At 41.9% G+C, this 15,246-nt stretch overlaps 1 protein-coding gene across 11 annotated transcripts in view; it reads right to left on the bottom strand.

The window, feature by feature from the left end:
- ANKRD26 (ankyrin repeat domain containing 26) overlaps positions 1–15,246 on the bottom strand; it is a 152,913-nt gene that overhangs the window by 34,133 nt on the left and 103,534 nt on the right. For 3 of the 11 annotated variants that reach the window (XM_047424832.1, XM_047424830.1, XM_017015932.2), the window contains 2 exons: positions 13,327–13,433; positions 10,155–10,690 (listed from right to left, as the gene is read on the bottom strand). The exons of 4 other annotated variants lie outside the window; for them this stretch is intronic. In XM_047424832.1, coding sequence (XP_047280788.1) covers positions 13,423–13,433 — 11 coding nt within the window. In that variant the 3' untranslated portion in view covers positions 10,155–10,690; positions 13,327–13,422. Of the gene's footprint in view, positions 1–316; positions 1,100–10,154; positions 13,434–15,246 lie in introns of those variants that run through there. 4 more of the 11 variants (XM_047424828.1, XM_006717425.5, XM_047424825.1 and 1 more) reach the window with 3 other exon arrangements.

The raw sequence follows: 15,246 nt of genomic DNA on the forward strand, positions 1-15,246 counted from the left end.
GAGGCCTTGTTCCCCAGAATTCAGAGTTTTCCTTTGAATTTAACCAATTCAAGGAGTGTGTCAGACCCAATGGGTTCTGCTTGTGGACCTAGCTTTCCAGGGCAATTACTCCCTGAACTAGTTTGGTCCACTCATGTCGTGGCTACCTGAATCTGTGTGGCAGGGGCTCAAGGCGCAGGAGGGGCTGACCTGTTGGGTGAGATTAGACCCTAATTATGTTCCTCTGAAGAAAAAACCTAATCAGAGCCACTGGATCTCTTAGGAATCAGTCCTCCCAGACATCCTCATGTTAATTCTCAGGAAATAGTCACCCATGTTTTTGTCTGGCTCAGTGAATCTTTATTTTAACATAAGACAACATAGACAATATGGCAGAAGAAGCAGTCAGATATGTGTTTGTCTCAGGTGAGCAGAGAGATGACTTTGATTTCTGTCCTCTGTTCTGCACCTGTGAATATAAGTGATCAATTTACATTGCCAGAGTGAATTCAAGAGAACTGTTTTAGGGTAAAGATCTTGGGCCCCAAAGGTAATTTTCTTCTGGGCAAACTGTGAGGGAGCTAAGTAGCCTTTTATCTTTGCAGCCATCTTATTTACAAACCAAATAGGAGGCGGGTTGGTGTGACCCAGTTCTCTGCTTGACTTTTCCTTTTTGCTTGATGAGTTTGGGGTTCCAAATTTATTTTCCTTTCATATTCCCCCAGCTTCCTTTTCATACTTAAAATCATTTGGAGAAAGCATTTTAAAAAGAAATGAGTCTCTAGTCTCAGGATTTTTCTTTTATGAGCTGGTCCCTTGTACCTAGGATGTTTTATTCCTAGAAGTTAAGGTTCCATGGTGCTAGAAAGGCTCATTCTTAGGTGGTCTTGTCTCATGGAGATTTAAAAAAAAAAAACAGGAGAAGGAAAGAAGAAAAAAAGAAAAACAATATGTATGTGGAGCTAGGCCAGATTTATAGCAACATAAGGGAAAGTAAACCTGGAAGTTGGTTCAGGCTATGCTACTGCCTCCTCAGTTAGAGCACTTCTTTGGGCAACCATTACTCTAGACTTCTCAGTTGCACATTGTCTTAGTTGCAAGCACATACCATTACGACAACCTAAGTAAAAAAACAGGACAGAACACAAATTATTATTATGATTCCTATTATGAGCAATAGCTTCTGCCACCAAGTTCCCCAGGATCCAAACAAACCACTCAACTAGTCGATTCGTAAGGGCTTTGGATCTGACAGGTTGGTTATCTGGGTTTTTATGTCAGTCATAAGTCAGGTTTTGTCATTTGATTCCTCTAAGATATAAATCCAAAATTCAGTTTTGATTGTGGCAAAGGTTCCACCTTGGGCTGCAGTGAGCATATCTAACGCCATACAATTTTGCAGCATGGTTTTTCTTATACGTGAGTCCTCATTGTTTAGCAAAGAGATAGCCATGCAGCTATCATTTAGGGCCTTTTGGGTATTATTTGTTAAGGCCTCTATATGCCATAGAACATCTTTAATATCTATTTGTGGTATAAAGATAGAAGCTGAGTAATCATACCATTGGAATACAGAATGTGTCCAATGAGACTGCAAATGAAAAAGGTCTGCTGGTTTGGCAGAGTCTGAATTACTCATCCTTGTGCCCAAGCATAACCTAGGGAACATTGTCCTAACCATCCTGGGGTTAACTGAGGCCATAAATTAGTGCTACATAGCCAGTATGTCCTATTTGGAGCTAGCTAATAAATACCATGTTGCTGTACCCAATTCGTGGTATGCTAGCCAGTGTCTTGTAGTAATAATATGGTCACAATGTTCTCCAAGTATCCACCACATGTCTCCTGCACTGTTTGGTCTGGGTCTTTAATGTGGTTTCTTGGTTCCCAGCATAAAGGAGCATTTTTAGCTGAGTTGGCCAAATGAAAGGGTAAGACAGATCAACCCATCCCAAATTTGCATTACCCCATTTTGAAAATGGGCAGATACTTTGGGTGTGGTTATCACCCACTCTTTTCACTGGATGGGGGGATACTTAGGTAAGTGCTAGTGAGCTGGTCCTTTCCTCTGAAAAGCTTTTCCCATGTGCCTTTCTCCTAAGAGTCTTTTCAATGGGCTAATGATACGTATTGTCCTTTTTTATGCCAGCACTAAGGACACCAGACCATTTCTGTGATGTAATACATTTTGGTGTTATAGCTAGTCCTGACCTCAGAAGGGAGATACCCATCATGACAGGCTGGAGCCACTGGAAATAGGCATGGTTGGCATATTCAGCAGGCATCTTTTTGGAATCTGTGTGTATAATCCTGAGCCACTGTAGAAACAGGTTTATTTCACGGGCTACAGCAGACGGCAGTGGCAAGAAGGCAAGAAGGCAAGAAGGCATAGGAAAAGAGCATAAATAGCTGCAGCGTTTTGAGATTCACTTTAACTACTGCAAAGACACTAAATCAGATAAACCAGGTGCTGGGTTCTCCATAAGATAGCAATTGCCAGTATCCCTAGGATAATCATCATAATGGCTAATACACAATAAACACAGGTGTTCTTTTGTACATAGGCATGGGTGGGCCAGTGTCTTGGGTTAAAGCTGTCAACAACAGCTGTTATCTGCTTCTAGTCCCAAGTCAAAGGTTGATATTGTTTAGTGAACTGGAGGCTAAGATCCTTGGCTGGAATCACTGTTCACTCAGGAGGATGTGCCTTTTTAAGATGAGACATGTAAATACATAAGTCTATACCCCCTAATTGTGCAGCACATGAATTAGTCAATACTACCTGGTATGGACCCTTCCATTGGGGATTAAGGGAGTCCTTTACCAAAGACTTTCTCTTTTGTAAGAGACAAAGTCTCTAGGCTACAGATTATGACCAGAAACCTCATCTTCAGGGAGGGCACTGTAAAAAGAATCCTTTACCAAAACTTGGCTTTTCATAAGGTGATGAATTAGTCCCTTACAATATATTGCAATATATCTCCCTGGAGAAAAGTTGGGTCGGTTATTTGGGTTCCTGACACATGGGCCTTCCCATTATAATTGTATAAGGGTATAGTTGATGTTTCACAAAATGGTGGATCAGAGTGTAAGGAGTGCCAGGAGGAGTTCTAGGCCAGGACAGGTGAAAAGCCCCTATGAACTTAGCCAATTGTGTTTTAATTATACCATTGGTCCTTTCCACCAGCCCTGAAGACTGAGGGTGGTAGGCACAACGGAAATGTTGAAGTACGAGGAAAATTTTACAAACAATTTGAAAAACCTGGCCAGTAAAATGAGTTCCCCTATCACTGTGAAGTTCAGAGGGGACTTCACAGAGTGGAATCATTTTTTCACATAGGATTTTTCCAACTGCCATCGCTGTTGCTTGCCTGCAGGAAAAAGCTTCAACCCAGTGGGAAGACACGTAGATAGTTACTAAAACATACTTTTAAACTGGAGATAATGGCAGCTGAATACTATCAAGCTGCCATACCTCAGAAGGTCCAGCCAGAAGGGGAAAATGATCCTGGGCACCATGGAGGGGGTTTCCTGGGTTATCTTTGGGAGAGAGAACACATGGAGAGTAAATATTTTGTGGCACCATGAATGATAGTTTCCAGTAATATTGTTTACACCAGGATTACATTTTCTCTGGATTCCAATGGGTCAGATTATTAACATATTCCACAAGAGGCATCTGACATCCCATTGGAATAATGGGTTTATTATTAGGTTCACATCATATTTCGCTTTCCAGTGACAGGTATCCCCCTTTCTGTTTCCAAGTAGATTTCCCTCTCATTTGGGCTATGCTCTGGGTTTTCTTCAACATGTTTTTAAGTGTTTCAGGTTTTATGACCATTCCCCAGATTGGAGCTGGTGGCTTAAATTCTGCTCTTTTAGCTGTAGCATCAGCAGATTGGTTACCCTGCTTTCAGTGGTGTCCAACTTAGAGTGACCTGGAATTTTTATAATTGTCAAAAGTTTCTGTTTTTGAATGACTTCTAACAGCTCTGACACTTCTTGTCCATTTTTTATGGGTCACCCCAAGAAGGTTAAATATCCTCTCTCCTTCCGTAGCATCCCAAAGTCATGAGCAACACCAAGTGCAGAGCAGCTGTCAGTGCAATACTTTCAACAGCCTTGTCTTTTGCCAGTTGAAAAGCTTGGGTCAGGGACAAGGTAATTTATAGATTCAATGCCATCCCCATCAAGCTACCAATGACTTTCTTCACAGAATTGGAAAAAACTACTTTAAAGTTCATATGGAACCAAAAAAGAGCCCTCATTGCCAAGTCAATCCTAAGCCAAAAGAACAAAGCTGGAGGCATCACGCTACCTGACTTCAAACTATACTACAAGGCTACAGTAACCAAAACAGCATGGTACTGGTACCAAAACAGAGATATAGACCAATGGAACAGAACAGAGCCCTCAGAAATAATGCCATATATCTACAACTATCTGATCTTTGATAAGCCTGACAAAAACAAGAAATGGGGAAAGGATTCCATATTTAATAAATGGTGCTGGGAAAACTGGTTAGCCATATGTAGAAAGCTGAAACTGGATCCCTTCCTTACACCTTATACTAAAATTAATCCAAGATGGAATAAAGACTTAAATGTTAAACCTAAAACCATAAAAACCCTAGAAGAAAACCTAGGCAATACCATTCAGGACATAGGCATGGGCAAGGACTTCATGTCTAAAACACCAAAAGCAATGGCAACAAAAGACAAAATTGACAAATGGGATCTAATTAAACTAAAGAGCTTCTGCACAGCAAAAGAAACTACCATCAGAGTGAACAGGCAACCTACAGAATGGGAGAAAATTTTTGCAATCTACCCATCTGACAAAGGGCTAATATCCAGAATCTACAATGAACTCAAACAAATTTACAAGAAAAAAACAAACAACCCCATCAATAAGTGGGCGAAGGATATGAACAGACACTTCTCAAAAGAAGACATTTATGCAGCCAAAAGACACATGAAAAAATGCTCATCATCACTGGCCATCAGAGAAATGCAAATCAAAACCACAATGAGATACCATCTCACACCAGTTAGAATGGTGATCATTAAAAAGTCAGGAAACAGCAGGTGCTGGAGAGGATGTGGAGAAATAGGAACACTTTTACACTGTTGGTGGGACTGTAAACTAGTTCAACCATTGTGGAAGTCAATGTGGCAATTCCTCAGGGATCTAGAACTAGAAACACCATTTGACCCAGCCATCCCATTACTGGGTATATACCCAAAGGATTATAAATCATGCTGCTATAGAGACACATGCACATGTATGTTTACTGCAGCACTATTCACAATAGCAAAGACTTGGAACCAACCCAAATGTCCAACAATGATAGACTGGATTAAGAAAATGTGGCACATATACACCATGGAATACTATGCAGCCATAAAAAATGATGAGTTCATGTCCTTTGTAGGGACATGGATGAAGCTGGAAACCATCATTCTCAGCAAACTATTGCAAGGACAAAAAACCAAACACTGCATGTTCTCACTCATAGGTGAGAATTGAACAATGAGAACACATGGACACAGGAAGGGGAACATCACACACCGGGGCCTGTTGTGGGGTGGGGGTATGGGGGATGGATAGCATTAGGAGATATACCTAATGTTAAATGACCAGTTAATGGGTGCAGCACACCAACATGGCACATGTATACATATGTAACAAACCTGCACGTTATGCACATGTACCCTAAAACTTAAAGTATTCAGCCACTTGAGGTGATCTGGCTTGGGGAAGAGGACCAGCTTCAATTACCTCTAATAAGGAAACCACGGCATAGCCTGTTCTAACATTTCCACCCTCTCCTCTTAAATCAGACCGATCTGTATACCAGTCTATCTCAGCATTATCCAGTGGCATCTCCTGTAGGCCTGTCCTGGGGGTGAGAAGTTAGTCAGTCATCAGAACAGTCATGAGGGGTTTTGTCAGAAGGGCCCAGGAACAGAGTAGCAGGATTTAGACTATTACAGTGGGATGAGGTAATATTTGGAGATGATAAAAGCAAATCTTCATAGAAAGTTAATCTATTGACAGACACATATTAAGTATGATGAGAGTTTAGAAGGGTCTCAAGAGAATGCGGTACATAAATGGTAAGGGAAGAACACGTAATAATATCTTCAACAGACTTCTACAGAATGGAAGTGCCTGATACAGCTCTCACACAGTGAGGTAAGGCCACAAGGTCTAGCTGTTGGCTGTAATACCCTATAGTTATCTGGTGATCACTAGGTTTCTGGTCAGTAGCCCAGGTGCCGTTTCTCCACTTTTGTGTATGAATAGGGAGAAAGGCAATTTGTAGTTAGGGTGCCCTAAGCCTGGGGCATTTTGAAACTTTCCTTTATTTGTTGCACAGCTGATTGTCCCTCTGGAGTAAACATGATGGGATCAGACTGTTCATCTTTTAGGTATGCATACAGAGGTTGAGCCATAAGGGTGAAATCTGGTGTGCAGTTCCTACAATAGCCAGCCAGCCCCACAAACCCTCTATGTTGTTTCTTAGTGATGGACATTGGGAAAGCTAAAATTTCTCTCACTCTACTAGGGTTAATACTCAGTTCTTTGATGGAGATAATATGCCCCCAAATTCTTAACTTGGGGTGAGCACAGCTGAAGTTTATCTTGGGACACTTTGTCTCTTACTGGCTTATAGTTTGAGTAAATATGAAATATATTCCTGAGAGGAAGAGAGTGTGTCTGACCCAAAGAGAATGCCATCCACTTATTGGATAAGCATAGAGCCTCAGGGAAAAATTGAGTCCTCTAAATCACACTTTAATATTTCAGAAAAATAAGTGGGACTTTCCACGCACCTTTGAGGCATTACAGTCCACGTATATCATGTAGATTGCCATTCTCTTCAGGTGAAGGCAAACAAATATTGGCTGTGTGGATCTACAGGAATACTAAAGAAGGCACTGCAGATGCACAACTGAGAAATACTGGCTGGGAGTGGGTACAGCTGATAGAAGGGTATGTGAGTGTCTAAATATTATGCTATTGTTTACTGCTCTCAGATCCTGTATAAATCTCCATACTCAAGCCGGGCATGATGGCTCACACCTATAGACCCAGCATTTGGGAAGGCCAAGGTAGGAAGATCACTTGAGCTCAGGAGTTCAAGACCAGCCTAGGCAACATAGTGAGACCTCTTCTCAAAAAAAAAAAAAAAATGTATCTTCTCCTGTTCGTTTTTATCTTCTCCTGTTTGTTTTTTCTACAAAGAATATGGTGGTGGGGAAGGGGAGTGTTGCAGGGGATGGTACAGGAAATAATGAGGACACAGCCCCCTTTTGAGATAATCTTCTATGATAGGGACAATTCCATCTATGGCTTCCTTTCTGAGAGGGTATTAATATCGGGCAAGATATTTTTTTTTCTGTTTATCTCAACATCTATTGGAGTGGCTGAGAATATTTTTTCTAAGTCTGTCTTTGACTTGGACCATAAGTGGGTGAGGATGGCCTTAAGCAAATGTTCCCCTTTTAGGGTTAATATGAATTTTGGGGGGGACTAAAGGGAATCATACAGTTCCCTGCCTTTTATTCCATTTTTCTCTTTTCTCCTCTAACATTTTCTTGGCTGTCTCTAGTTCATTTTCTCAGTCACAAGATGATGTTTTAACATTACTAAATCATGGTAAATTGTCAAGACTTTTTAAAATTTGTTATTTTTGGTCTCCTGGCTCCAATTCCAAAAAGATTCACCTTTGATGAAAAAGACTTATGGGCATTAAGGATGTTGAGAAGATTGCAGCCCAAAAGATTGACAGGGTTCCCAGGACATATTAGGAACATGTGAGACCTACCAAGTGGGTCACATTTAGAGCCCTGGGAACAGTAAATTCTTTATGCTTCGCAACTCAACCTTTGACCAGGGTTGACAGACAATTGCTGGGGTTCCCCTACCTGTTACTGATTGTTCCCTAAATGGGCAATCATGAGGGGTGTCCTTGCAGGGTCCCCCTTTTCCCATCTTCCTGATGAGAGGCTGCCACGGGGGCTGTCATGGAATCATCAGGAGGTAGGGTCTTGGAGGTTAGACCTCCTGCTGCCTTCTGTTGAATGAGCAGCAGATGAGGACGAGGGGAAGATGGTAGCCTGGAGCATGCAAGAGAAGGAAGGAACAGATCTTGTCCAGGAAGTTCAGAGGAGGCGGGGTAAAGTGGGGGTGTAAATGGAGGTGAAGGAAGCACCAAGGGGGAAGTAAGCAATTCTGAAGATTTCTTTAAGAGTGATCAAGTGCTAGAGAGTTCTCGGTTAGCATATCTAAGTTGTTTGTTGGCCTCCTGTAAGGAAGTGAGGTAGTCTTCCCCCATTTTGCTACTCTCTAGGTACCATTGAAAGTAGCTCTCCCATTCTGGCTGTTGAGTTTTTGTGCATGCATTTTCCATCCTAGTTCCCAGGTGCACTAATATGGGCATCTCAGAAGATTCCCTTCTAGGCCATTGTAACTTAGAGTCTGCTTTGGTTATAGTTGTCCACTTGACTAAATATGTGCATGGCAATTCACTAGAAGTATTTTGCAAATACCCAGCCAGAGTTTCTAAGGATGAAACTTATGTTCCACAGCTGTGTGGGGGCTTTGGCGAACTTAGAGGCCTCATTCCTCCTAACTTAGAGTTCTCTTTAAGATTTAACCAAGTGTAGAAAAAAAGGAAAACTAAATTTAAACAAGTTGGGGAGTGTATCACACCCAAAGTGTGCTGCTTGTTGACCTAGATTTTCAGGGCCATTAGTTCTTGAACCAGTTTGGTCCACCCATATCACTGCTACCTGGCACAGTGTGTCAAGGGCTTAAGGTGCAGGAGAGGTCAGTTCCTTATATGCACCTACAAGCTGAGAATAGACCCTAAGTATGTTCTTATAAGGGGGAAACCTAATCCGAGCCATGTCTATGGAGTATTCCTCCCAGACACCCTCACATGATCTCAGACACATGAGAATGTCCAGAAAGACTGAGAGGAGCAAGATGCTCTTCTTGTCTCCAGAGTGGAAATTTTACACTCATAGGCTACAGGGATTTAGACTTGGTCAAATATGATAGAAGAAAGATAAAAACATACCAAATTAAAAACCTTAACAAAACAAGCAAAAACAGATCAGCAAAATAAACACTGATCACACCAATTATGCTTTCTGAGCACTTTAATTGTAAGGAGAAATGAAGAATAAACTAACGTTTAGTCATTAAAGAGAATTAGCAAGACAAAATCCCAACTCAGCTCCTTACCTAATAATGGGGACCAGGCTAAAGACCACTCTCTGCCTGCGCAGAAGCAGACAAGCTCGACTTCCTTGATGGAAGCCAGCTGAAACTCCCAGGAAAAGGAGTTTGTTTTTTTATAGCAAAATAAACCTCAGACCCTCCCCCTCAACTAAACAACAAAATTGGGGAGGTCAGGGATCCCTGGAGGAAGGAGGTCCCAGACCTCAGCAAATCGTCCCATCGTTTAGGGTGATAAACACAGCCCAAGCCAGTACCAAGCACCAATAGGAGAGTTGCTGCAGGCCTGGGCCACCTTCATTCAGGAATCCCTTCGTGGTTGCTAGATGTAAATAAAAGAAAATGACCACGGCAACTCTCGGTCATTGTAGGAGGTTTATTTGCCAAAATTAAGGATGTGTGCCCAGGAGACAGGTCTATGCTTTTCTCCAAAGATGATTTTGAGGGCTTCAATATTTAAAAGGGAAAGGGTAGATATTGAAGGAAGGTAATTTTTTTTTTTTTTGAGACGGAGTTTCACTCTTGTTGCTCAGGCTGGAGTGCAATGGCACGATCTTGGCTCACTGCAACTGCAACCTCTGCCTCCCAGGTTCAAGTGATTCTCCTGCCTTAGCCTCCCGAGTAGCTGAGATTACAGGCATGCGCCACCATGCCCAGCTAATTTTGTATTTTTAGTAAAGACGAGGTTCTCCTTTTTGGTCAGGCTGGTCTCGAACTCCCCACCTCAGGTGATCCACCTGCCTCGCCCTCCCAAAGTGCTGGGATTACGGGTGTGAACCAAAGAAATATTTTTAAAACGTGTCTCAGTAGATAAAAAGACAAAATGGTTGCATCCTATTGAGCCTTTGATCAGCCTTTCACTGAATACACAATTTTCATGTGTGAGGGAGGCAGAGGAAATAGACACTCATGACTTCATCTGGCTTGCTGAAGACATCAGTACTTTATGCATTTTAACAAAAAATGACATAGACAATAGGGCGGAGGAAGCACTCAGATACACATTTGTCTCAGGTCAGCAGAGGGATGACTTTGAGTTCTGTCCTTTGTCCTGCACCTGCGAAGATAAGCTATCAATTTACATTGCCAGAGTGAAATTCCACATAACTGTTTTAGGGTAAAGATCTTGGGGCCCATAAAAGAATCTCCTTGTGGGCAAATTGTGAGGGAGGTATGTAACTTTTTTATCTTTGCAGCCATCTTATTTAGGAAGCAAATGGGAGGCAGGATTGCCTGATCTAATTCTTCGCTTTATTTTTCTTTTGGCTTTATGAGTTTGAGGTCCCAAGATTTCTTTTCCTCTTACATTTTCCTCCCATTTTTTCTTTAAAATCTTATGGAGAAAGAATTTTAGAGGTAAATAAGTCTCTGGTTTCAGGTTTTTTCTTTTTTCTTTTTTGAGCTTGTCCCTTGTCGCCAGGATGTTCAGGTCCCACATTACTTGGAAGGCTTATTCCTAAGGTCATGTTTCATGGAGATAAAATATGATACGTAAAAAAGAAAGATAAAATACACACACGTACACACACACACACACACACACACACACACACACACACAGAGAGAAAAAGAGAGAGACTTTCCCAGATTTACAGCAAAATGGAAAGCAAACCTAGAAGCTGGTTCAGGCTATGCTACTGCCTCCTCAATTAGAGCAGTTCTTTGGACAACTATTACTCTAGCCTTTTTGGTTGCATGTTGACTTACTTGCAAGAATATACTATTACAACATTGTAAGCAAAAGCATGGCAGAACACTAATTATTATTATTATTCCTATTATGAGCAATATCTTCTGCCACAAGTTCCCCAGGATCCAAACCAACCACTCAACCAGTCAATTACCAAGGGTTTTAGATCTGACAGGTTGGTTATCTGGGTTTTCATATCAGCCATAAGTTAAGTTATATTATTTGATGTATCTGGAATATAAATACAACATTGAGTTTTTATGATGGCACGGGTTCCGCTTTGGGCTGCTGTGAGTATATCTAAGGCCATATGGTTTTGCAGCACAGCTTTCCTCATTAGTAAGACTTCATTGTTTAGCAAAGAGATACTCATGTGTCTATCATTTAGGACCTTTTGGGTATAATTTGTTAAGGCCTCTGTATGCCATATAACACGTTCAATAGCTATTTATGGTACAAAGACAGAAGCTAAGTGATCATACCATTGGAATACAGAACGTGTCCAGCAAGACTGTAAGTGAAAAAGCGTTGCTAGTTTGGCAGGGTCTGAATTACTCATCCTCGTGCCCAAGCTTAATCTAGGGAACATCATCTTAACCATCCTGGGGGTAATCAAGGCCATAAGTTAAAGCAACATAGCCAATATGTCCCATTTACTGCTAGCCAATTAATATCTGGTCACTGTACCCAATAGGTGTCATGCCAGTGCCTTGTAACGTAATAATGTGGTCACAATGCTTTCCAGGTATCCACCCCATATCTCCTGGACTGTTTCACCATTGGCCCTTTGTGTGGTTTCTTTCTTTGCAGAATAAAGGAGCATTCTGGCTGAGTTGGCCTAATAAAGGGGTGATTCAGTTAAACTAATCACAAATTTTGCAGTATCTCATCTTGAAATTCAGCAGTTACTTGGGGTGTGGTTACCAACTTCTCTATTAGTTGCAGAGAGGGGACTAAGGTGAGGGTTGCTGAGCTGGACCTTTCCTCTGAAAACCTTTTCCCATGTGCCTTGCTCTTAAGTGTATTTTCAATGGGCTAATTATATATATTGTATTTTCTTACACCAGCACTGAGGATACCAGACCATTTCTGTGATGTAATACATTTTTGGTATTCTATCCAGTCCTGACCATAGAAAGGAGATACCCAACATGGAAGGCTGGAGCCATTGGAAAGAGGCATGAGTCTGCATATCCAGGAGGCATCTTTTTATAATCTGTCTGCATAATCCTGAGCCCATTGTAGAAACAGGTTTGTTTCATGGGCCACAGTGGGTGGCAGTGGCAAGGCACAGGGACAGAGGATAAACAGAAACAAGGTTGTGAAATTCATTTTAACTACTAAAAGGATATTAAATCAGACAAGGCTGGTGCCTGGTTCTGCATAACACAGCAATTGCCAGTATCTCTAGGACAATCATTGTAATGGCTATCATACACTAAATATAGGCATTCTTTTGTATACAGGTCTGGGCTGGTGTCTTGGGTTAAAGCTCTCCACAGCAGCTCTCTCCAGTCCTGTGTGAAGATCCTCTAAATTTGTGGATAAAATGTTATGGCTAAAATCAAGCTGCCAAACCTCAAAAGGTCCAGCTAGAAGGGGAAAATGACCCTTGGCCCCATAGAAGGGCTTCCCTGGCTTATTTTGGCAACAAAAAACAGATCAGGAGTAAACCTTTTGTGCCACCAGGAATGACAGTTTCCAATAATATTGTTTACACCAGGATATCATTTTCTCTGGATTCCAATGGGTCTGATGATGAACATATTCCATAAGGGGCATCTGACATCCCATTGGAATAATGGGTTTATTATTAGGTTCACATCATATTTCAGTTTGCAGAGACAGGTATCCCCCTTTCTGTTTCCAAGTAGATTTCCCTCTCGTTTGGGCTATGCTCTGGGTTTTCTTCAACATGTTTTTAAGTGTTTCAGGTTTTATGGCCATTCCCCAGATGGGGGCTGGTGGCTCAAATACTGCTCTTTTAGCTGTAGCATCAGCAGATTGGTTACCCTGCTTTCAGTGGTGTCCAATTTAGAGTGACCTGGGATTTTTATAATTGCCAGAAGTTCTGGTTTTAGAATGGTTTCTAACAGCTCTGATGCTTGTTGGTCATTTTTTATGGGTTGCCCCGAGAAGGTTAAATATCTTCTCTCCTTCTGTAGCATCCCAAAGTCATGAGCAAACCCAAATGCAGAGCAGCTGTCAGGGCCTATGTTCACAACCTTGTGAACATAGAGCTCGCCAATTGAAAAGCTCGGGTCAGGGAAATCAACTTGGCTACTTCAGCTGATCTGCCTTGGGGAAGAGGACTGGCTTCAATTACCTCTAATAAGGAAATCACAGCATATCCTGCTCTAACATTTCCATGCTCCCCTCTTAAATCAGACCCATCTGCATACCAGTCTATCTCAGCATTATCCAGTGGCATCTATTGCAGGTCTGTCCTGGAAGTGAGACATTGGTCAGTCATCAGAACATAGTCATGAGGGGTTTCATCAGAAGGTCCCTGGAATAGAGTGGCAGGATTAAGGTAATTACACTGGGATATGATAATATTTGGAGATAAAAGCAAAACTTCACGGAGGTTAACCTATTGACAGGTGTTGAGTTATGATGAGAGTTTAGAAGGGTCTCAAGAGAATGCGGTACACAAACAGTAGGAAGGGAACCCATGATTATTTCTTCAACAGACTTGTATAGAAGGGAAGTGGCTGATGTTGCTCTCATACAGTGAGGCAGCCCTTGAGCTACAGGGTCTAACTGTTGCCATAATAGCCTACAGTTCTCTGATGGTCATGATGTTACTGGGTCATTACCCCAGATGCAATTCCTCCACTTTCATATGCTAAAAAAAGGAAGGCAGAGAAAAGAGATCAGACCATTCACTTCATAGGTATGCACAGAAGTTGGTGGGCAAGGGAGAAATATGGTATCCAGTTCCTACAATAGCCAGCCAGCCCTGAAAACCCTTTAAACGTTGATTTTTAGTGATGGTCATGGGGAAAGTTAAACTACGCTCACTCTATCAGGGTTAATGCTCAGTCCTTGGACTCAGATAATATGCCCCCAAATATTTGACTTGGGGTGAACACAGTTGACATTCATCTTGAGACACCTTGTCCCTTATTGGCTAATTGTGTGAGTAAATATGAAATATCTTCCTGAGGGGAAGAGAGTGTGTCTAACCCAAGGAGAATGTCATCCACGTATTGGATGAGCACTGAGTCCTGGGGAAAAATTGGGTCCTCTAAATCGGCCTTTAATATTTGGGAAAAATAAGTGGGACTTTCTGTGCACCCTTTAGGCATTACAGTCCACGTATATCATGTATATTGCCATTCTCTCCAGGTGAAGGCAAACAACTATTGGCTGTGTGGATCTACAGGAATTCTTGAGAAGGCACTGTAGATGCACAACTGAGAAATACTGACTGGGAGTGGGTACAGCTGATAGAAGGGTATGTGAGTGTCTAAATATTATGATATTGTTTACTGCTCTCAAATTCTGTACAAATCTCCACCCTCAGCCCAGGCATGGTGGTTCATAACTAATCCCAGCACTTTGGGAGATCAAGAAGAGAGAATATCTTGAGACCAGGAGTTTGAAACCAGCCTGGGAAATATAGTGAGAAAAAAAAAGGCCGGGCACAGTGGCTCATGCCTGTAATCCCAGCACTTTGGGAGGCCAAGGCAGGAGGATCACAAGGTCAGGAGATCAAGACCATCCTGGCCAACATGGTGAAAACCCATCTCTACTAAAAATACAAAAATCAGTTGGGCGTGGTGGCTCATGCCTGTAATCACAGCTACTCAGGAGGCTGAGGCAGAAGAATCACTTGAACCACGGAGTCAGAGGTTGCAGCGAGCTGAGATTGCGCCACTGCACTCCAGCCTAGCAACAGAGCAAGACTCCATCTCAAGAAAAAGAGTCTTCATTCTCTACCATTTGGTTTTTCTACAGGGAATACAGGGGTGTTGTAGGGCTTGGTACAGGGAATAATGAGATAATCTTGTATGATAGGGACAATTCCATCTATGTCTTACTGTCAAGAAGGATACTATACAATGTTGGGGAGCAGTATCTTTAGGAATATTTTTCCTGTGTCTGTATTTGACTGTGACCATAAGTGGGAGAGGATGGCCTTAACCAAATGTTCCACTTCTGGGGTTACAGGAAAACTGGGGAGGCTAAAGGGAGGTTTACGGCTCCTTGCCTTTTATTTCACTTTTCTCTCTTCTCCGCTAATGTTTCCTTTTTCTGTCTTTAGTTTATTTCCCAGACACAAGATGATATTTTAACATTACTAGTACTAAACTATG

The sequence above is a fragment of the Homo sapiens genome, chromosome 10, assembly GCF_000001405.40.
Source record: "Homo sapiens chromosome 10, GRCh38.p14 Primary Assembly".
NCBI classification, from domain to species: Eukaryota; Metazoa; Chordata; class Mammalia; order Primates; family Hominidae; genus Homo; species Homo sapiens.